The 24,401-nt window shown below is 35.9% G+C and overlaps 1 protein-coding gene across 5 annotated transcripts in view, besides 1 other annotated feature; it reads left to right on the top strand.

Annotated features, from left to right (window-relative positions):
• The window catches only part of PCDH9 (protocadherin 9), a 927,503-nt gene that overhangs the window by 481,372 nt on the left and 421,730 nt on the right, over positions 1-24,401 (top strand). The window lies entirely within an intron of this gene.
• Positions 10,634-11,240: an enhancer, noted in NCBI's record as "NANOG-H3K4me1 hESC enhancer chr13:67311857-67312463 (GRCh37/hg19 assembly coordinates)". NCBI's record gives its function as "activates a minimal SCP1, AML or CMV promoter by ChIP-STARR-seq in naive and primed H9 embryonic stem cells {active_cell/tissue: H9 hESC(naive and primed)}" and the evidence as "EXISTENCE:reporter gene assay evidence [ECO:0000049][PMID:30033119]".

Below are 24,401 nucleotides of genomic sequence, written 5' to 3'. Positions count from 1 at the left end.
ACTTACTCATTATCATGAGAACAGCATGGGGTGGGGGACTTCCCCCATGATTCACTTATCTCCACCTAGTCCTGCCCTTGACACAAGGGGATTATTAACAATTCAAGGTGAGATTTGGGTGGGGACACAGAGCCAAACCACATTAGAGATGTTGAAGCTCTTTGTGCTCTTAAAAGTCAAGTATATAGCTGAGTGTTTTATGTATCTGTGTTTGTGTGTGTATCCTTAAGCAATATTATGCTGTGATAACGATGATTATAAACAGAGGCCCAGGATTTCACAAATAATTGCACAATTTATACTATTAGTTCTCTTTCCTAAGCTCTCAAGAGCAAGTTTCAATGAGCTGCACATGGAGTCTGCTTTGCTGACACACTACATCTTCATGTGATCAAGTAGAGACACAGTGGCTAAAATTATTTAAAGTATAGCTATAGAAAATAATGAAATCAAAGCAAAGGTACACCTGCATTTGAAAATACATGACCACTTCTAAGGAATTATACACACTTGAATATTCTGAGTGTTTCAGAGTAGGAAAAATTCCTAAACCTTCCTTTTTGATTTGGTGTGGTTTAACTACTGTACACTCATTTGCTTCAAGAATGAATCAGACTTTTGACAAATGCATAAAACAGCAAAGGTACACATGAAATAAAATTTATCTCATTAAAGTTATCTCAACAATAACAAAACAGACAATTCTAGAAGCATCCATTTTATATTCAACTATTGCTATTGATTTTGGTTTTTGATATTCCTAACAGTAGTTTAAATCACTTCCATAGTCTTGCCAAAGTAAAAGCAGCAATCTAAGCTAAGGTTTCCTACCTCTTAAATTTACAATATGCTTCGAGATATATCAGCAATTCAAGTTTTTCTGCTTGAATGTGCATGTTCAGTGTTACTGAACCCAAAATATGAAGGTCTAATGAATTGGCTTTAATGATTTCCTTACTTCCTTAAATGTTTTTGTTTTAATTGGCTATACCACACTATATCCTGAACTACATTGAAAAGTTCACAAAATTGATGCTAATGGTCTCTTTCTAATTACTACATAACGAACAAGGTCTGACAGTGCAGTTTTAGAGGTTAGACACCACAATTAATAAATTATTGTCATATTTTTATGAAACAGAAATTTTAAGGCTTCCATAATAATGTGGAGATTATATATACATATGTGTGCTTCAGTGAATTTATGTCTGTGTATGTGTGTGTATTAATCTTAGATAAATATCTGAAAAAATATACATTGAGAATATTTTATTTTTTGATTATGTTTTTTTGATTATATATAAACATACATGTATATGCATATATGTATGCCTGTATATTAATACACACATTTTTGGAAGAAAAAAGCACCACCTAATAAGTATATTCTTAATTTATTTTGCAGAAGTTGCATTTCATGTATAATCTATGCTCTCCTGAGTGTATTTAACACTTAAACGGATCCTTTATCTGTTTCTGGTCTGGAGTTTGAACAAAATATTCACATTGGTCACAATTAAAATATTTTGATGAAAAGAGTTTTGGTCATGCCATATATATGCTTTTTGTGTTTTGTTTTGTTTTGTTTTGTTTTGTTTTGTTTTGTTTTGTTTTGAGATGGCGTCTCGCACTGTTGCCCAGGCTGGAGTGCAATGGTGCGATCTTGGCTCACTGCAACCTTCACCTCCTGGGTTCATGCAATTCTCCTGCCTCAGCCTCCTGAGTAGCTGGGATTACAGGCACACACCACCATATCTGGCTAATTTTTTGTATTTTTAGTAGAGATGAGGTTTCACTATGTTGGCCAGACTGGTCTTGAACTCCTGACCTCGTGATCCACCCGCCTCTGCCTCCCAAGGCGCTGGGATTACAGGCATGGGCCACCACGCCCAGCCAGGTCATGTCACATATTTAACAGACTTAGTCGTATCTTATTCCATTATAGATACAGTTTTTTTGAATAAAATGTTTAAAATGATATGCTTACACTGATATTTAGGAAAAAATAGCAAGAAATCTCACAAATCACGAAAGTTGGGGGATAGGGGTATTCACATTTAGTAGTCTCACACAATTGTTACATTAAAAGTACCAAACATTATTATACTTACTATTTCTAATGTTGATTCTCCAAAATATTAATTTCTTTTTCACCTACATAATGAAAAAAAATTTAATCTTGTTCTGGTTTTGCACATTTGACTTTCAGTAGTGAAAATATTTATTACTACTTATTCTTGAAGAAGTTTGATTTCAAATTTCCTATCAAAAGTGTAATAGATGACACGTTAACTTTTAGGAAAAAGACTGTAAATCTGTTTTATACAAATCAAATTGTATATACTTATTTTCACTTTTCTCAAAGTATTTAAGGCTGTCAACTGATTTTTTTACTTACTTTTTCAGAGCTATTTTACTATTAATGACTTATTCTCTTTTGATTCTTGCTTTCTTTCTTTCTCTCTTTATTGTAGTTCTCTGTCTGGTTATCTGCCTTGAATAATTCACTGTTTTCAGGAAAAGGACATACAATTTGATCAGGAATTGTATTTATCTGGCATCTTTATTCATGATTGTTTCAGATATTTACATACATTAAAAATATTTAATTTGAAATGAAACAAATATTGAGAGAGTTTTTATAATTGCTTTTACAAATCAAGTATTATTCCTAAAGTTAATCTCAGTTAAAACACACTTTCAGAGCTGAAGATTCTTTTTATTCTTTTTATTAACATAGCATTGTTTTTAGATGGTGTAAGTAAAAGGCACTGAAAGGAAGCATTCTCATTACATTGTTTGCAATCTAATGTTATCAAAAAATAGATAAGTGAAAAGTATATGGCAACATACAGGTAATGCCAAGTGAATGGAGAGAGAGTGAAATTAAAAAATGACTTAAATGAATATGTCTATGGGGGGAAGTGGGCTGAAATGAATGTTGGTAGTAGTATTTCTGAGAGGAGAAAAACTCAATACACATGTTGGGGAAACATTTAAATTTTAAACAGGTGGCGATAGGGAGCCAGAGAAAGGATCTAAGGGGGAATAATGTGCTTGAGCAAAGTAAAAATGTTCTCCTTGTTGGCAAATTCTAATCATATCTTGCTGTGATAATTAATCCGACAGCTAAACACTAGCCACTCACCTGCTTCAAAACATAAATTTTATTTTATGTGCACAACAAATTACTCTTTCATGCACACATTAAAAAAAATATACAAATTCTCCATGGAATGGGGGAGATATTCGATAGCTGCCTTTGGTGGAAATAATTATTATTAATTTAAGATGAGCATGCTCTAGACAGACTGTTAACATTCCTGTTTTATCTAAACACAGCCATGTGAGTGGCACAAGGCTGTCAGTGTGTTGGTGAAAGCTCTCCCACTGTTCCCAACAGCTGCTGAAATCACAAACATTTCAATCCTATTAATTCAACATGAAAAAATCATTAGCATTGTACTGAGGTGTTTGAACCGGCTCATTCCTGCTTGGTTGATCTCTCAAGTCAAATTAGGAAAACTCCTGGTCAGGCGCAATTTACCATTTGTTGAATCAGGCATATTATTCCGGTCACATTTTGAGATGGCACTCGTCTGCCCTATGAGCAATGATGAATTTCACTCAAGAAGGAAACTGTGTATTAGGGTTTTGAAAGCAAGAGCTTTTCTATCACTTGTGAATTTCTACAGGTATGAAACATAGATTAATAAAATATTCAAATGGGTAAGACATCATTCAGATCATCATCAACAACAATACTCGGTAGTGATTTAATCCTATTAAATGTCAGATATTTCTCTAATTGCCAAAGATCCCTTCATCAACTTGGTCTTCAAAACATCCTTATGAGTGGGGTGCTATTATTTCTGTTTTTCAGATGAGAAAACTGAGGCTCACACAAAAAGTAAATTGCTAAGTTTATATAGCTACGTTACGGAGACTGAATTTGAATCCAGGCAATATGATCCTGCATTACGTGCTCATTTCATATAGGTGAATGTACAAATGTGAAATAAAATGAAAGAAATAGAGAAAAGAAACTAAAAACTTTTCTCTCTGAGATATTTACAAGTAATCTTGTTTTATTCCTGGAGGTGAGGAAATAGTCAGTAAATGCCAGAACTAATATATATTTGAGATGTCAGATTTATGAAAGTCAATATGTCAGTGGGCCAGCTGGGACCAGAAACCGTATTTCCTTTCAGTCTAAAACTCTGTCCATGTTTACCTTGAAAGAATAACATATTCATTTTTTATACCTGAATTTCTTTCTTGTGTTTATATTGAAAATAATAAAGAGAATGAGGAAATTATATATATGTATATATTATATCCTATTATTAGCATTTGCTTAATATATCCAGTAAAATGACATACAACTTTCTAGTAATTAAACAAGTACTGGGAATGTATTTTCTCATGTGAACATGTTTTGTGTGTGGTAGATGCTGGAAGGCTAACACAAACATGATATTTAGGACAAGAGATTGGTCGTGTACCTTTCATTTAGTTTCGGACTTTTCAAAATAAATAAATTTTTAAAAAATTCACTGATAACACTGATAACCTTTACTTCAAGTCATGCTTTAGAGTCTACCTGCATAGTTTTATGCATGCGATCCATGTATAGAGATGGTTTATTCTTTTTCATAAATAAATATTTTGGTTCTGTCGGGCTTATTTAATCTTCATCTGGTCATAAAGTATCTTTCTCCAGGGATATGTGAATTGATTAATACAAAATAATAAATACATGTCCCAGGAATTGTTGATCGTTTAAAGAAGGGTTTATAGTTTTGGAAGTGTGGAGACAGTCAGAATTCCATTACCCAGATGCGTGGGGCTCTCTAATTCCAGTCATGATTTTGCGAGAAGATTTTAAATAGCACATGAATAATACAAGTAACCTTGTTGGACACCTTCTGGCCATCTTTTTATGCACGTATGGCCTTTCTCATCTGCCCTTTCCCATTTACATTTTTTTTCAATTTGGTATGTGGGTGTGTGTAGACATGTCTATTTTTCCCAGTAGACTTTAAGCCATTTTAAGAGCAGGCATTACGTCTAATACATCTTTAAGTTATATCTCATGACACTACTTGTGTTTTGTTTTCTTACAGAAGTTTTTAAAAATTTATAAATTTTAAAATTATTTTCAATTTTTTAACTTAGTTGTTTTTCATTTACGACTAAAATTGTATGTATTTATGGTATATAACATGGTGTTTTGGAATATGTATGCTTTGCAGAATAGCTAGATCAAGCTATTTAACATATGTGTTACTCATATTTGTTTTTATAGTGAGAACACTTAAAATCTACTCTCTTAGCAATTTTTGAGCATACAATACATTGTTATTAACTATATTCACCATGTTACACCATAGATCTCTTGGCCTTATTCCTCCTGTCTAATTGAAATTTTGTATCCTTTGACTAACCTCTTCCAAATTTTTTTTTTTTTATTATACTTTAAGTTTTAGGGTACATGTGCACATTGTGCAGGTTAGTTACATATGTATACATGTGCCATGCTGGTGCGCTGCACCCACTAACTCGTCATCTAGCCTTAGGTGTATCTCCCAATGCTATCCCTCCCCCCTCCCCCCACCCCACCACAGTCCCCAGAGTGTGATATTCCCCTTCATGTGTCCATGTGATCTCATTGTTCAATTCCCACCTATGAGTGAGAATATGCGGTGTTTGGTTTTTTGTTCTTGCGATAGTTTACTGAGAATGATGATTTCCAATTTCATCCATGTCCCTACAAAGGACATGAACTCATCATTTTTTATGGCTGCATAGTATTCCATGGTGTATATGTGCCACATTTTCTTAATCCAGTCTATCATTGTTGGACATTTGGGTTGGTTCCAAGTCTTTGCTATTGTGAATAATGCCGCAATAAACATACGTGTGCGTGTGTCTTTATAGCAGCATGATTTATAGTCCTTTGGGTATATACCCAGTAACGGGATGGCTGGGTCAAATGGTATTTCTAGTTCTAGATCCCTGAGGAATCGCCACACTGACTTCCACAATGGTTGAACTAGTTTACAGTCCCACCAACAGTGTAAAAGTGTTCCTATTTCTCCACATCCTCTCCAGCAACTGTTGTTTCCTGACTTTTTAATGATTGCCATTCTAACTGGTGTGAGATGATATCTCATAGTGGTTTTGATTTGCATTTCTCTGATGGCCAGTGATGATGAGCATTTTTTCATGTGTCTTTTGGCTGCATAAATGTCTTCTTTTGAGAAGTGTCTGTTCATGTCCTTCGCCCACTTTTTGATGGGGTTGTTTGTTTTTTTCTTGTAAATTTGTTTGAGTTCATTGTAGATTCTGGATATTAGCCCTTTGTCAGATGAGTAGGTTGCGAAAATTTTCTCCCATGTTGTAGGTTACCTGTTCACTCTGATGGTAGTTTCTTTTGCTGTGCAGAAGCTCTTTAGTTTAATTAGATCCCATTTGTCAATTTTAGCTTTTGTTGCCATTGCTTTTGGTGTTTTGGACATGAAGTCCTTGCCCATGCCTATGTCCTGAATGGTAATGCCTAGGTTTTCTTCTAGGGTTTTTATGGTTTTAGGTCTAACGTTTAAATCTTTAATCCATCTTGAATTGATTTTTGTATAAGGTGTAAGGAAGGGATCCAGTTTCAGCTTTCTACATATGGCTAGCCAGTTTTCCCAGCACCATTTATTAAATAGGGAATCCTTTCCCCATTGCTTGTTTTTCTCAGGTTTGTCAAAGATCAGATAGTTGTAGGTATGCGGCGTTATTTCTGAGGGCTCTGTTCTGTTCCATTGATCTATATCTCTGTTTTGGTACCAGTACCATGCTGTTTTGGTTACTGTAGCCTTGTAGTATAGTTTGAAGTCAGGTAGTGTGATGCCTCCAGCTTTGTTCTTTTGGCTTAGGATTGACTTGGCAATGCGGGCTCTTTTTTGGTTCCATATGAACTTTAAAGTAGTTTTTTCCAATTCTGTGAAGACAGTCATTGGTAGCTTGATGGGGATGGCATTGACTCTATAAATTACCTTGGGCAGTATGGCCGTTTTCACGATATTGATTCTTCCTACCCATGAGCATGGAATGTTCTTCCATTTGTTTGTATCCTCTTTTATTTCCGTGAGCAGTGGTTTGTAGTTCTCCTTGAAGAGGTCCTTCACATCCCTTGTAAGTTGGATTCCTAGGTATTTTATTCTCTTTGAAGCAATTGTGAATGGGAGTTCACTCATGATTTGGCTCTCTGTTTGTCTGTTGTTGGTGTATAAGAATGCTTGTGATTTTTGTACATTGATTTTGTATCCTGAGACTTTGCTGAAGTTGCTTATCAGCTTAAGGAGATTTTGGGCTGAGACAATGGGGTTTTCTAGATAAACAATCATGTCGTCTGCAAACAGGGACAATTTGACTTCCTCTTTTCCTAATTGAATACCCTTTATTTCCTTCTCCTGCCTGATTGCCCTGGCCAGAACTTCCAACACTATGTTGAATAGGAGCGGTGAGAGAGGGCATCCCTGTCTTGTGCCAGTTTTCAAAGGGAATGCTTCCAGTTTTTGCCCATTCAGTATGATATTGGCTGTGGGTTTGTCATAGATAGCTCTTATTATTTTGAGATATGTCCCATCAGTACCTAATTTATTGAGAGTTTTTAGCATGAAGGGTTGTTGAATTTTGTCAAAGGCTTTTTCTGCATCTATTGAGATAATCATGTGGTTTTTGTCTTTGGCTCTGTTTATATGCTGGATTACATTTATTGATTTGCGTATATTGAACCAGCCTTGCATCCCAGGGATGAAGCCCACTTGATCATGGTGGATAAGCTTTTTGATGTGCTGCTGGATTCGGTTTGCCAGTATTTTATTGAGGATTTTTGCATCAATGTTCATCAAGGATATTGGTCTAAAATTCTCTTTTTTGGTTGTGTCTCTGCCCGGCTTTGGTATCAGAATGATGCTGGCCTCATAAAATGAGTTAGGGAGGATTCCCTCTTTTTCTATTGATTGGAATAGTTTCAGAAGGAATGGTACCAGTTCCTCCTTGTACCTCTGGTAGAATTCGGCTGTGAATCCATCTGGTCCTGGACTCTTTTTGGTTGGTAAACTATTGATTATTGCCACAATTTCAGATCCTGTTATTGGTCTATTCAGAGATTCAACTTCTTCCTGGTTTAGTCTTGGGAGAGTGTATGTGTCGAGGAATTTATTCATTTCTTCTAGATTTTCTAGTTTATTTGCATAGAGTTGTTTGTAGTATTCTCTGATGGTAGTTTGTATTTCTGTGGGATCAGTGGTGATATCCCCTTTATCATTTTTTATTGTGTCTATTTGATTCTTCTCTCTTTTTTTCTTTATTAGTCTTGCTAGCGGCCTATCACTTTTGGTGATCCTTTCAAAAAACCAGCTCCTGGATTCATTAATTTTTTGAAGGGTTTTTTGTGTCTCTATTTCCTTCAGTTCTGCTCTGATTTTAGTTATTTCTTGCCTTCTGCTAGCTTTTGAATGTGTTTGCTCTTGCTTTTCTAGTTCTTTTAATTGTGATGTTAGGGTGTCAATTTTGGATCTTTCCTGCTTTCTCTTGTGGGCATTTAGTGCTATAAATTTCCCTCTACACACTGCTTTGAATGCGTCCCAGAGATTCTGGTATGTTGTGTCTTTGTTCTCGTTGGTTTCAAAGAACATCTTTATTTCTGCCTTCATTTCGTTATGTACCCAGTAGTCATTCAGGAGCAGGTTGTTCAGTTTCCATGTAGTTGAGCGGCTTTGAGTGAAATTCTTAATCCTGAGTTCTAGTTTGATTGCACTGTGGTCTGAGAGATAGTTTGTTATAATTTCTGTTCTTTTACATTTGCTGAGGAGAGCTTTACTTCCAACTATGTGGTCAATTTTGGAATAGGTGTGGTGTGGTGCTGAAAAAATGTATATTCTGTTGATTTGGGGTGGAGAGTTCTGTAGATGTCTATTAGGTCCGCTTGGTGCAGAGCTGAATTCAATTCCTGGGTATCCTTGTTGACTTTCTGTCTCGTTGATCTGTCTAATGTTGACAGTGGGGTGTTAAAGTCTCCCATTATTAATGTGTGGGAGTCTAAGTCTCTTTGTAGGTCACTCAGGACTTGCTTTATGAATCTGGGTGCTCCTGTATTGGGTGCATATATATTTAGGATAGTTAGCTCCTCTTGTTGAATTGATCCCTTTACCATTATGTAATGGCCTTCTTTGTCTCTTTTGATCTTTGTTGGTTTAAAGTCTGTTTTATCAGAGACTAGGATTGCAAACCCTGCCTTTTTTGTTTTCCATTTGCTTGGTAGATCTTCCTCCATCCTTTTATTTTGAGCCTATGTGTGTCTCTGCACGTGAGATGGGATTCCTGAATACAGCACACTGATGGGTCTTGACTCTTTATCCAACTTGCCAGTCTGTGTCTTTTAATTGGAGAATTTAGTCCATTTACATTTAAAGTTAATATTGTTATGTGTGAATTTGATCCTGTCATTATGATGTTAGCTGGTGATTTTGCTCGTTAGTTGATGCAGTTTCTTCCTAGTCTCTATGGTCTTTATATTTTGGCATGATTTTGCAGCGGCTGGTACCGGTTGTTCCTTTCCATGCTTAGCGCTTCCTTCAGGAGCTCTTTTAGGGCAGGCCTGGTGGTGACAAAATCTCTCAGCATTTGCTTGTCTGTAAAGTATTTTATTTCTCCTTCACTTATGAAGCTTAGTTTGGCTGGATATGAAATTCTGGGTTGAAAATTCTTTTCTTTAAGAATGTTGAATATTGGCCCCCACTCTCTTCTAGCTTGTAGGGTTTCTGCCGAGAGATCCGCTGTTAGTCTGATGGGCTTCCCTTTGAGGGTAACCCGACCTTTCTCTCTGGCTGCCCTTAACATTTTTTCCTTCATTTCAACTTTGGTGAATCTGACAATTATGTGTCTTGGAGTTGCTCTTCTCGAGGAGTATCTTTGTGGCGTTCTCTGTATTTCCTGAATCTGAACGTTGGCCTGCCTTGCTAGATTGGGGAAGTTCTCCTGGATAATATCCTGTAGAGTGTTTTCCAACTTGGTTCCATTCTCCGCATCACTTTCAGGTACACCAATCAGACGTAGATTTGGTCTTTTCACATAGTCCCATATTTCTTGGAGGCTTTGCTCATTTCTTTTTATTTTTTTTCTCTGAACTTCCCTTCTCGCTTCATTTCATTCATTTCGTCTTCCATTGCTGATACCCTGTCTTCCAGTTGATCTCATCGGCTCCTGAGGCTTCTGCATTCTTCACGTAGTTCTCGAGCCTTGGTTTTCAGCTCCATCAGCTCCTTTAAGCACTTCTCTGTATTGGTTCTTCTAGTTATACATTCTTCTAAATTTTTTTCAAAGTTTTCAACTTCTTTGCCTTTCGTTTGAATGTCCTCCCGTAGCTCAGAGTAATTTGATCGTCTGAAGCCTTCTTCTCTCAGCTCGTCAAAGTCATTCTCCATCCAGCTTTGTTCCGTTGCTGGTGAGGAACTGCGTTCCTTTGGAGGAGGAGAGGCGCTCTGCGTTTTACAGTTTCCAGTTTTTCTGTCCTGTTTTTTCCCCATCTTTGTGGTTTTATCTACTTTTGGTCTTTGATGATGGTGATGTACAGATGGGTTTTCGGTGTGGATGTCCTTTCTGTTTGTTAGTTTTCCTTCTAACAGACAGCACCCTCAGCTGCAGGTCTGTTGGAATACCCTGCCGTGTGAGGTGTCAGTGTGCCCCTGCTGGGGGGTGCCTCCCAGTTAGGCTGCTCGGGGGTCAGGGGTCAGGGACCCACTTGAGGAGGCCGTCTGCCCGTTCTCAGATCTCCAGCTGCGTGCTGGGAGAACCACTGCTCTCTTCAAAGCTGTCAGGGACATTTAAGTCTGCAGAGGTTACTGCTGTCTTTTTGTTTGTCTGTGCCCTGCCCCCAGAGGTGGAGGCTACAGAGGCAGGCAGGCCTCCTTGAGCTGTGGTGGGCTCCACCCAGTTCGAGCTTCCTGGCTGCTTTGTTTACCTAAGCAAGCCTGGGCAATGGCGGGCGCCCCTCCCCCAGCCTCGCTGCCGCCTTGCAGTTTGATCTCAGACTGCTGTGCTAGCAATCAACGAGATTCCATGGGCGTAGGACCCTCCGAGCCAGGTGTGGGATATAGTCTCGTGGTGCGCCATTTTCTAAGCCGGTCTGAAAAGCGCAATATTCGGGTGGGAGTGGCCCGATTTTCCAGGTGCGTCCGTCACCCCTTTCTTTGACTCGGAAAGGGAACTCCCTGACCCCTTGTGCTTCCCAGGTGAGGCAATGCCTTGCCCGGCTTCGGCTCGTGCACGGTGCGCGCACCCACTGGCCTGCGCCCACTGTCTGGCACTCCCTAGTGAGATGAACCCGGTACCTCAGATGGAAATGCAGAAATCACCCGTCTTCTGCGTCGCTCACGCTGGGAGCTGTAGACCGGAGCTGTTCCTATTCGGCCATCTTGGCTCCTCCCCCCTCTTCCAAATTTTAATTTACATTAATTCAACAAAAGTAAATAGACTGCCAACTCATGTGGGTAGCCCACTTTTGGTGAGAACCACCAATAACTTTTAATTAAGTTCTGAAAGAGATATTGAGAAAGAAAGTTTCAAGAACCAGTGGTCTATTGCTAAGGGCTGAAAAACTGCACAAGGGCTAAATTTATCAACCTTAAATTACCATGCTAATGGCATGGCAGAAACCAGACAAAACCAAAATGCAAGCAATCACGTGTTTTTATATGAAAAATAGAAATAGAGAACAAATACATGTTTTAACTTAGTGCAACCTTTCTAAAACAATTATTATTTGATGAATAAATATAAGATAAAAATTATTACATCTTCTCACTTGCATTTTATCAAAATGATTTATTAACTCCACATTATTTTTGTGCTTATTTTATTCAAGGCACTACCCTGCGTTTCATGGGAGATGGAAAAAATAGAGGCTACACTGTTTTTTTCCCCTCAGGAACGTATATTTTATATGGCTTTATAAGTAAGACAAATGATCCTGCGAAGTTGCCTGATAAAGAAGGTGGCAGTTAAGGGTTGAATCGGGGGAAAGATCTCTGGAAGATAGAGTTGTTAGTTAAGTCTTTATGAAGAGAGCTAGTTTCTGCATGACAGATTGGATTCAGATAGGTGTAAAGGAAGTGTATGTTTCAGAAATGGGAGAATACACATAGAAATGAGACTCTTGTAAGCATCTTCAAGATAAAAACAGACTTACCTATTCATATTATGAAATCCATGCTTGAGGACATTTAAAAATGTTGCAATGACCAGTTTTCAATGCCTGAACAAGCAATTGTGCTGTCAATTAAGTATCACCCTGAAAACTTTGTTTTTTATTAGAAGGCTATATTCGTTTGCTAGGGCTGCCATAGTAAAATGTCACAATAACAAAATCTAAAAGAAGACTGGGTGGCTTAAACAACAGAAATTTATTTTCTAACAGTTCTTGAGACTAGAAGTCCAAGGTCGAGGTATGGGTATATTTGGTTTCTCCAGGTCTCTCTCCTTGGCTGGCCTGTGGGCACCTTCTTTTCCCTGTGTCCTCACATGTTCTTTCCTCTGTGAATGTGCATACCTGGTGTCCCTTTGGGTGACCAAGCTGGGTCTATCTACAGACATCGGATTGGATTAGGACCCAGCCTTATAGCATCATCCTAACTTAATCACCTCTTTAAAGGTCCTTTAGCCAAAATAGTCACAGCTGAGCTATGGGGGGTTAGGGCTTCAACATATGCAATTGGGGAGATAGAATTCAGCCCATAACTAAGACCAAAGTTCAGGCATAAGAAAATAAGTATCATAAATATATTAATTATCATAGTATGCTGTATTTAATTAATAGATAATGAAAGATACATGAATCAATATTTAAATATACTCAGTTAACTTTTATTGAATAAGTACAGTGTTCCAGCATATGAACTGAATATTTTCACATATATCATGTCTTCTTTAATCTTTAATTTTTTTTTTTTGAGACAGAATCTCACTCTGTCATCCAGGCTGGAGTGCAGTGGCACAATCTCAGCTCACTGCAACCTCTGCCTCCTGGATTCAAGCAATTCTTGTGCCTCAGCCTCCTGAGTAGATGGGATTACAGGCGTGCACCACCACACCCAGCTAATTTTTGTATTTTTAGTAGAGACAAGGTTTCACCATGTTGGCCAGGCTGGTCTTGAACTCCTTACCTCAGGTGATTTGCCCACCTCACCCTCCCAAAGTGCTGGGATTGCAGGCATGAGCCACTGTGCCCGGCCTAATCTTTAAAATTATTAATACTACGTGCAAAGATAAGACCAAATTCACACAGTGACATATCTCTGATTCTGTTTCATGAAATTCTGACTCTAATTTTGTTGCTTTTTTTTAAAACACAGTTCCTTCATACCTGGCATATTTTCTAAATGTGCTCATATTTAAGATTTATGATTCTATTAAATTTACTTTGCCTAAGCCTCACATATTTCTATATATATAGGGTTATATATACATCTGTCTGTGTAAATGTATGTGATATGGTATATCCTTGTGTTTGTGAACAAAGTGTACCCAATCTTTAGTTTGTGAGATAAATTCTAAGTCTCACAAATCTCTCTATTTCATTAATTTGAAACCTCTCCTTATTTTAACAGCATATGCTTTAGAAATACAAGATTTTGCAAGTGTTTGATAGTTAAACTTTACATTATATTTTGTAGCATCCAGTCAGCATATGTGTCAAAGGAAGGTAGTGGAATATGTGGAGATTTCTCAGCTGCCCTAATTAGCTGATACTCTTTTGAAATTTTGAGAAGTCAATAGCACAATCTGTTGTAGATATAACTTTTCAGTGAACAACTATCTAATATTTTGAGGTTATGAACAGCACCCAGTACTATATATATTCATGTGACTGAACAAGCTATTCCTCGTATTTTAACAAATCATGTTAATCAACATGTACATACTGTTCTAGTCGTAAGATATGTCTGCCTTAATCAACTCAGCCTCAAAATAGGTTTGAGAGCTATGTTAACAAGGACCAACTGCGTTCGGTAGTAGTTTTGAGCATGGGATTCATAATGGAGTTGCTTTTGAATTTTGGCTTTAGTACATACTAAGTGCTGTATAAGTCATTTATTTCTCTTCCACTTGGAAAATATATATAACAATGTGTATTTCACAGCCTGATATGAGATATGAGACATAGAATATATAGGCAGTACCTAGCCTATAGTTAGTGCTACATGAATAGAGCTGCTATTTATTTAACCACATACACATTTTGATTATTCATCAAAAATTTGAAACTTAGAAGAGGTAGACATTGATTAATATTGACGTCTAGTGTAGAAAATGAATGTGCTGGAAGCTTGACACTTAGTTGTTACCCAGAGTTAGCCAAATTGCAAAATCTGAGGACACAGTCGTTAAGAAAGCCTTCATTTCTGACACCAATTGCAAATTTGCAGGGTTCACAAGATCCCTCTCAGGTACAATAATTTACTAGAAGGACTTAAAGAACTCCACGAAGCTCACAATTACTGTTTATTACAGGGAAAAGATACACTAAAATTAGTCAAAGGAAGAAATGCATAGAGCTGAATCTAGAAAAGCTCCAAACTTAAAACTTCAATTATTGTCATGATGTATTACCCTCCTGTCAACAAGGTATGACAGTATGCAATGAGTACTGCCAACCAGGGAAGCTCACCCAAGCTTTGCTATCCAGATATTTTATTGGGCTTTCATTATGTAGGCATAACTGATTAATTGATTAAATGCCCACATGCTTAAACTCAGTTCCAAGTCAATTTACATCATGTGACCCAAAGCCCCTACCCTAAAATCATATGGTTTATTTTTCTGGTATAACTAGCCAATATCCAAAGACTGTTTAGTGTGGGAAATCTTACCATAAGATCCAGAGTGGCCAGCCCCTGACCTAAGCAAAAATACTCTATTGGGTATGGCATGAATTATCTCCCTAAAGCCAAGGGAAAAGGCCAGACCTCTCCGGGGCAAAGCCAAATTACCTACTGCACAGATATATAGTCTGAATACAAATAGGTTGATGTGTTCTGTTTTCATTGCATTGTTATTTCATAAGAACTCAGTAAAGTGACTAGCAAAGTAACAAAAAGTAAGAATATGAATACAAAATCTTGTTATTTTGGTGACATTTTTCAAAGTACAGTCTTTAATAGTCAATATTATAAAGACACCTGTAAGATAGACAGCTTTGTGGCCTTCAAAGTGTTAATGTCGTAAAAAAAAAAAAAGCCTACCTTTATACATTTTTCTATATATGAAAATGCCACTAATCTTAAAACCATTTTACCAATAAATGTTTGGATGCCACTTAACAGATTTTCCAGAGAAATTGAGATCTATATGGAAATTCAACTAGCTACATGATTGTTCATTTGTAGCATATGAACGTATATTCTACAGCTTATACCTGCCAAACTAGGGAATGAATTCTTGTCATTGGTTTGTACTTTGTGTGTTTTTAGTTAAAAGATTAATAAATTTATCCATCAAAAATAATTAGTGTGGAGGAAGGTGATCTAAATAATTAACTAAAGGTGATTGAGTAGCACTTTTTAAAATTTAAAAATGTGACAGGAATAATTTGTGGCTACACCTAATAAAACAGTAAGGAGGAGTTCTAAGTTTCTATCCTATTGATGTCATGGTTAAAGGGACATTTTGAGAGATGGAAATATCCTGGAGGATAATTATGTAAATGAAAACACTCCCTAATGACTAAGTTTATAAAATTATATGCAGAGGATTTTCAAGGTTAGATTCAAAGCCACAGAGCCAGGTCTGAAATCTTTATAGGATAATGATCTACATCACAGTTTATACAGCTTTATTTGTTTTCTCAATGGTGGACCCAACACTTGTTGCTGTTAAAATACGTAATTTAGTAAAATATAAACATATATGCTTAAAATATAAATTTCCATTTTATTATCAGAGATAGCAGGGTCATACATGTGCATGTGAATATACATCTGTGTGTATATATGTCCAAGCTGGTGTAAAGGAAGCTCTTAGAACTAAGTAGGTAAAATATCAATAATTAGTATCTGCCATAAAATATCTCTCATAGATCCCAGGTTGGGGAATATTTTGAAGTTGTGAGACAATTAAAAATCTTAATAGTCTAATTTTTCATGTATTTTTCTATCTGCAAAAAAAATGGTAGTTTTAAATGAGCCTGTCTTAGGTTCTGTGGCTCAATGAGCCTTACATGAACATAATTTGGAGATATAAGCAAGTCAGCAGAAATTTAAAAAAGCAGCTCTTACACAGGTAAGAAAAGGAAACAAGCCAATGAAAGTACTTGGTAGATATTTAGGATTTGGAAATTTGGCTTTAATACCTTTGGGAAATAATCTTATTTTGTAAATTAGATTCTCTTTGGGGTGGTAATATTTTTTCTTTTAGCTCAAATAGAAGCTAATTATTGAATTAATAATTTTCCAAGCTTGGCAAGGCCCTTGTAGACACATGTAAATATTATTTGAGTCAGGTCAATATATATGTTAAATTTTACATTATATCACAGATAATAGTAGTATGTTGAGTTTTAATAAGTTTTCAACAGTACAGTAGGAAAGCTATAGTTAACAATAATTTACTGTATATTTCAAAATAGCTGGATTAGAAGATTTATAATGTTCCCATAGAAAGAAAATTATAAGAGGTAAAACCTACCTCAATTACCCTGATTTGATCCTGACACATCTTACACAGGTATCAAAATATGACATGTATTCCAAGAATACATACAACTATTGTATATCAAAGAAAGTTTTTAAAAATAAAAATAAATTTAAAATACTATTGCCTAATAATAAAACCAAATATTGAATTTTGCTGTGAAATCAAAAGCATATCTTGAATATGGAAGGAAAATACATGTCAAAATTATTTTTAATGTATTTTTACTTTCAAAGCCAATGTACTCTTGCTTATAGCCTTCCACATATGATGAGGTTCTTATGGTCCACAAAAAATAAACAGTGACATCAAATGTTTTAAGAAATATAGCAGAGTCTATTTGTCATGATACAGTATATCAATTTTATTTAATAGTGATACAAAATACTTTAAATTGTGTTTTAGAGAAAAGCAATGGAAGGGAAATTTGTTGATAAATAGAATGTATAATTTAATATTATGATGATGCCAGTCTTGGTTTGAGGTATGGTATTTATAATATATCTCCTTTATTTTGGGCTTTACTGCTGTGAATTATTGAAAGTTGATTCACTTATGAGATATGTTTATCTAAATTCAGTTCAAAGTGAATTTTCTTTTTCTTTCCATGCAAGAGCTAATATTGAATGTTCAGTGGGACTATAATCCATCATGCTCTTGCTTGGGAAACATATTTGTAAACTTAATACCATATAGATAATTTTCATTTTATTGTATAGGAAACACAAAGTGTTACTTTATTAGGCTAATGATACAATATGGAGTATTATCTGAGCACACAATTCAAGAACTCTTTAATCACAAGTAAAATAAATTTAGTTCAAAATCTAAAGGCTAAAAGTAACCATAGAAAGCCATCTCTGTTTTCATTAGAACCATATTCATGCAAAAATTGTATACAAAATGTCTGACTTTGACACCAATCCTTTATATAACCATGAGTTTGTGCTGAAGAAATTCCGTAAGCTTCCTTAGTGAGTTATTTTATTTTCTAAACCTTCTCATTGGAAATAAACTAAACCTCTAATCGAGATTTATGCCTCTGATTGTCATCATTTCCTCTTCCATAGACTTGAGAAATAACCCATCATTCTCTTCGAATGATTCTTTTCTAAATCTACAGATTGTGTGAAGTCAAATTTAACCATTCCCCTGTGGATTTATATTTATTTAGTCTTTGAATAAAGAAATATATATTATACGCCTGGGCCTGATAGTTCAGCCTGTTATCCCAGTGTTTTGGGAGGCCGAGGCAGGAAGATAGCTTAAAGCCAGAAGTTTGAGACAGCCTCGGCAGCATAGTGAGACCTCTGTCTCCACAAAAAAAAAGAAACAAACAAAAAAAAAACACACACACACAAAAAAACAAAAACAAAAAAACAGCCAGGCATGATAGCAAGTTCCTTTAGACTTACTTACTCAGGAGGCTGAGGCAGGAGGATCACTTGAGCCTGCAATGTCAAGGACGCAGTGAGCTATAATTGTGCCACTGCACTTCAGCCTGGGTGACAAAGCAAGACTCTGTCTCAAAAAAAAAAAAAAAGGAAATATATATTATATGTGCACCTGTTATGTCAGTCATTATGTGAGGTGCAGGATATAAAATGATGAGATGATATATACATATGCTCCACCCTCATGGAATGCAAATGTTAGTGATTGTATAGTATACAGTTTTGACTGTGATGACTGGTACATGGTGCCCTGGGAGTCTATATTAAAGGAATACAGATCAAAACAAAGGCAAGTGATATTTTCTAGAGGAAGAGATGTTAGAGCTGAGATATGCAAACTGTGTAGTAGTAGTTCACTAGATTATGAGAAAAAGCAAAATGAGTCCAAGATTGTTGACCACATTTCGTCACAGACAGTATGCAGTAGAAGATTAAAATAACAATTGATTTTAATTATAAAATTTGCAAACATGCTATGAAAAAGTATAGCTATCAAATATTTTTAAATGACAGGAAAGCTTGTCAATATCTTCAGTTTAAAAGAAAAGTGGAAATAAAAGAAGAAAAAGAAAGATTCCAGGATATGAAAAAAATGAATGCATATATAAAATCTTGTCAGTAGAATTAATCAAGTGATTTGAATTTTATTGACTATACAGAAAATCCTGTCTCTACAGAAGTAGTATAATGGGGCTATAGGCCCACTGTAGATGGTTAAATATTTTTAAAAGGAAATAAATACAAAATAAGTGTATCACAGTCATTCAGAAAACTTTTGTTAAACATATATTATTCTACAGACTTTGTGGTTTTAGGGGCAAAGATGGAAAAAGATGTCAGGTTTTCTGCTCTCAAGTATTCTATAGTCTACTCTGGGAAGTCAAACATGTAAAATGGTCTGACTTAGCACATTGTGATACATGTGGAAATCTTGATTAGGATAGAGGATCATCAATGCATAAAAGTCAAGACATTTCAGGAAATGCTTCATGGAGGAGCTATTTCTGAGTTAACCTTGAAAAAGCAGTAGGAATTAGCTAGGCAAAATTGGCCTAGTAGATGGTCAAAAGAGTTTTCTCACACAGAAGGAGCAACAATAGCAATGTAAGCTGCTAACTAGAATAAATAGTGCCTTGGTCAGTGTGACAGGAAGGAAGGTGTATAGAAGTTGGGGATGAGGGTAGACAGCTGAAAATAAAGGCTAAAACAATCATCAGAAACTTTGTAAAACATTTTGAGAAGTTTGGACTTCCTACTGAAGCTAAGAGGAAGGTATAAAGATTGTTAAATAGGGGAGTAAAACAAATCGATTTACAATTTATGAACATGTCTCTGGAAGCAAAATATATGAATTTTTAAAACTACATGCATAGTAGTATAGATGCACATGACTAAAAGTCAGGAGGGTACTTGATTGTCTATTGTACTAACTGTAGTAAAATAATAAGAGCCTGATCCAAGAGGAATTTATGATGAATTTTGAGCCTCAAAGAAATGGAGGATTAAACATGCCTTAGCAGAGTTTTTAATTTGGGAATCATTTGGCTGGGAAGGATGTGATACCATCATCTTTCACTCACCAAAGAAACACAAGAAGAGGAACAAATTTGGGGAGATAATGAGTCTGCTATAGGCATGTTAGATATGAGATCTTTCTGGGACCTCCAAGTTGATATTTCATAGATATCCATGTCTATGAAGCAGAAAAATTTATAGACTAAGAGCTCAGAACAGCTATCTAGACTGATCATACAAATATATGTCATCAGGGAATAAATGATAATTTATGAAAATTAAGTGATTATTACAAGAAGAAAAAAACACCATGGACAGAAACTATGTGAAAGAATAAAAATCTGGCAAAAAGCTAACATTTTGGAATCAGGTAAAAGAACCAGAACACATAAAGTGAATTAAAAATCAAAAAGAAGAGCAGAAAATAGGTATAAGGTGGTATCAAGGACCTTTATCAAAAAGAATTGACTGCAAAGGAAAGAAAGATATGATGGAGTCAAAGTCTAAGTAGGAAAATAATATTAGAGTAATGGATTACTACAGAAAGATTTTGTTTCCAGAATCAGACAATTATATACTTGGTTATTTGAAGGCATTCTTAGTCTGGAAATCAGTAGGAGAGGAACAGAACTGAGAGATTAAAGTTAGGTAAATGTGCTCATTTGCATAAGGGTCAACAGCAGAAACAATAACTCAATGCCAAAAAATAGAATCCCTGTGAATCCAGAATTTCATGACCACTTAGGAAAGAAAGATCACCTGGAGCCAGCCTGGGTTCACTAAAACTAATAATTATGGTCAGCACTACTATGATTTTAGTAAACAACATTCGGAAACGGATACATTTTTTTAAATTTCAGCAAATTCTCAGCATGCTAACTGCTGGAATACCTTCCTAATTAGTCAAAAACTAGATTAAAATGTATATGTTGAATGAGGAACAAAAAATGATTTGGAAACTCCAGTGTACAAAGGAAGTTTATTAGAGGGATTGACAACCTAAGTTTAAAATAATGCGGCAAAACCAGGGCTGTCAAACAGCATAACTGAAGTAGTGAATAGTATGTACACCATATAGTACAAAGGATAGTCAATAGCATTGAGATGTCTTTAGGAAGGCTATGGCAAATATCATTAAATATCTAAAGGCTTATTATGAAAAATAGAGATTATGTTTATTTTTTATTACTCTGGATGACCAAGTTGGTGTGAGGAGGCATATGTTAAATGAAAGTATGGAGAGACATATTTTGAAATAAAATAAATTTATAATACTTATATTCATCAGTAAATACAATGGCTGTCTCTCAATACAATGAGCTCTTTGCCACTACGACATCTTAGAAGTGAACTACTACTAGAGACTTCTGTAGTCTCTAAGTTTACGTATGCCTTAACATCATTTAATTTAGATATGATATTCTTCAATACTGAGACCCCACTGGAAAAAATGAAACATAGGCATTCTTTTTATTTTGTACCTAGTTTATATTAATTTCAATATCAAACATCATTTTTGGAAGAGAAAGGAAGAATGTAAGATGAGAGAGAGGATAATAATTTAGTTTTACTTATCATATGTGTGCCTCTGTGTCTATATCTAGTCTATATCTAAGTCTATGCCTATATCTATCTCTCTATACGTCCATAATAGGCACACACAAACATAGTAATATTTTGGCCACAAAAATATAATATATTTTAATTTAACTTCCCTTAAAATTCAATATTTTGTAGCAGACTCTAGTGGCATTTTTCCCCACTAGTGTAATAATTTCTGTAAATCTCTTCTTTATCATTTTATTTTTTTGAAAAAGAAAGCATAGAAGGAAAGATAGGCAATGAACAATGGGGCTTAAATTTCATTATTAAGCAGATAGCAAATTAAAAACATGAACTCTCCTCTTATATTTAGAAGAGAATATAAGTTTAATGTGTAAATTACGATCTTATTAAGGGTTTAAAATTTTTATTTTATTTTAATTTACCTTTTTTGAGACAGGAGCTCACTCTGTCATCCTGGCTGGTGTGCAGTGGCATGATCATAGCTCACTGCAGCCTTGGACTGGGCTCAGGGGATATTCCTCGTTCTTCCAAGTAGCTAGGACTACAGGTGTGTGCCAACACACCTGGCTAATTTTTAAAATGTTTTGTAGAAATGGAATCTAGCTATGTTGTCCAGGTTGTTGCCCAAGATGGTGAGCTTCTGCCCTCAAGCAATCCTCCCAATTCAGCCTCTCAAAGCACCTGGATTATGCGCATGAGCCACTGCCTGGCTCCAGTTTTAGATTTTTTAAAACAATCCAAATACTTAGGAATTTGTCAGAAATAAGGCAAGCAAGTAGGCTAATAAAGTAGGATGGAAGCTTCTTGTTTTTGGTGAATATGAAAATATTTGAGATAATCAGCAGTCTTTCAAAGCCAGAATGGCTAACTGAGAAAGTTGATTAAATCTATGCAAGTTAGTTTAGTTCTCCAGACATTTATTTAAAACATACTGCACTTCAAGAATCGTGCAAGACATTGGATACCAACATGAATGGTGCTTTATGTGAGGTCTTTGGTACGCAGGGAGGAAAAAACAACTTTTCATTCAAGCTACTTCAAGCATTGCAAGATTATTTGGAGGTAATTTGGGGAATAAGTGGAGCAGAAATCCCACCAAAGCCCTAAAACATCTGGGCCTCACAGAGATGAGAATTTATTTTCAGAGCCATGAGAGTCACAGTGACTTAGTGTGCCTCTAGGGACTTGTGTACAGTGCATTCTTGGATCTTCTCACTCTAATGTTATGCTTTAAACAGATTCACTTACTTATCCATTGTTATTACCCTCTGAGTTTGTATGCTTCTTTTACCATCTAATTGCATTTTTCCTTATGTCTTTTTCTTTACATTGTGCAACTTGTCACTAAAAGTTTTTGTTTGTCAAGACCACCCTTTGTCTTCAATGCTGCTTCCTCCCTATTACAACTCTGACTCTTTCTCCTGAATTCTTCCAACCTTTCTCCTTCAGAACATTTTGGTGACTGTTCCATATTGCCTTTTTCAAATTTTAAAGAAAGATTATCCAGTTCCTTCCAATGTAGGAATGTGTATGTCTCCTCTTTCTCCCTTCTCTCTCTCTCTTCCTTTTAACAGGAAAACTTGTAAAACATTTTTAAATCTAAAAAAATAGAAATAGATTGGCAAGTATCCTATCTAGCTCACCCATATGAAGCATTATTCCCTGTCATTGTATACGTTGATGCAAAAGTAATTGTGATTTTTGGCATTACTTTTAATGCAAAACCTAATATTAGGCTATTTTAAACCAACACCAACCTAATATTAGGCTACTTTACAACTCTACAGGCTGTAGAAAAGTGATAATAATGGAAATGATACTTTTCCTTAGAGATGTAAGTTAATTGTCCCAGGGGAATAAAATTGATTATTGCCTTTGGGTAGTTCTGTTCCCCCTCTATTTGTAAATGCGTGTCAGAATTCTTTATTCTCTTTACATGCCTCTGCTCTTTTGATTTTCATTTGAACCCCATTCATTACTGGTTCAACTGTGAGTTAATGATGTAAACAAATTATCTGAAACATGTTTATTGTATACTTTTATTAAAGTTATGATTATACTCTCTTTTGAAATGTATCCTTTAACACTTTGAAAAAAATCACACTCTATCCTAGAACATCCTCTAGCCATTGAAAAGTACCTATCACAGTCTAAACAATAGTCGCTGGGAGGTAACTAGGAGAAGGAGGGTGTTGGTGATGAAATCATGTAGGATCTTGGGAAAAAAATTAAAAGCTTGTCATTCACTCTGTGTAAAAAGGGAAGAAAATAAGTGCCAAACTGACTGACACTTTAAGAAGATCATTCTGGCTGTGGTCTTGATAGGCAACAGCAGGCTTAGGGTAGAAGCAGGGAGATCAATTAAAAGGCTATTACACTAATCCAGATGAGAGGTGATAATAGCTTGGACAATCAACCAAGTAGGTAATGGTAAAATAGCATAATTAAATAAAATTCTTGATATCTTTTGAAAGTTGAGCCAACAGAATTTGCTGTTGAATTAGATGGAGGGCATGTGAGAATGAGAGAAATCGACAATTATATAACAAACTGGACCTAAGAAATCAGAGTGATGGAGCATTTAGGGAGTGTGGGGGTGTATTTTTGACATGTTAAGTTTAAGGAACCCATTAAATTTCTGAGTGTGAATTTTGTGGAGGAAGTCAGCCATCTGGGAGAGAATTATGGGCTAGAGATATGATATTGGGAGTCATCAGCACTATGTAATATTTAAATCTCAAACATTGGTTGAACTGTATAATGACTACCCAAATAAGAACAAAAAGAGGCCATTAATTCAGAGCTTACTATATCAAGGAAGTCAGCCACCATCACTTGTGCTTTGCAGACTTCAAGGCAGGTAGGGAAGTGTGGGCAAATTTTGGGAGAGACACTAGATAAGCTCTGATTGGTGGTTGTTAACATAGGGAAGCTGGAGATAGGCTAACTAGAAGTGAAGCATCTTATGTGATTGGTTTCAGGTTAGGTTATTTGGCTCTCTCTGTTTGGTCTGGAGTTGGAAAGGTGAGGGATGGGAGTAGGGCGCCAAAATAAGGAGGATTTGTTGACGAAGTCCTGACCTTTATGGAAGAATGGCTGCAGAGATTGTGGTTTGGCTTCCGGGAC

The sequence above is a fragment of the Homo sapiens genome, chromosome 13, assembly GCF_000001405.40.
Source record: "Homo sapiens chromosome 13, GRCh38.p14 Primary Assembly".
Lineage (NCBI taxonomy): Eukaryota > Metazoa > Chordata > Mammalia > Primates > Hominidae > Homo > Homo sapiens.
Note: the sequence above shows the minus strand (reverse complement) of the source record. Positions and strands in the feature narration are given on the sequence as shown.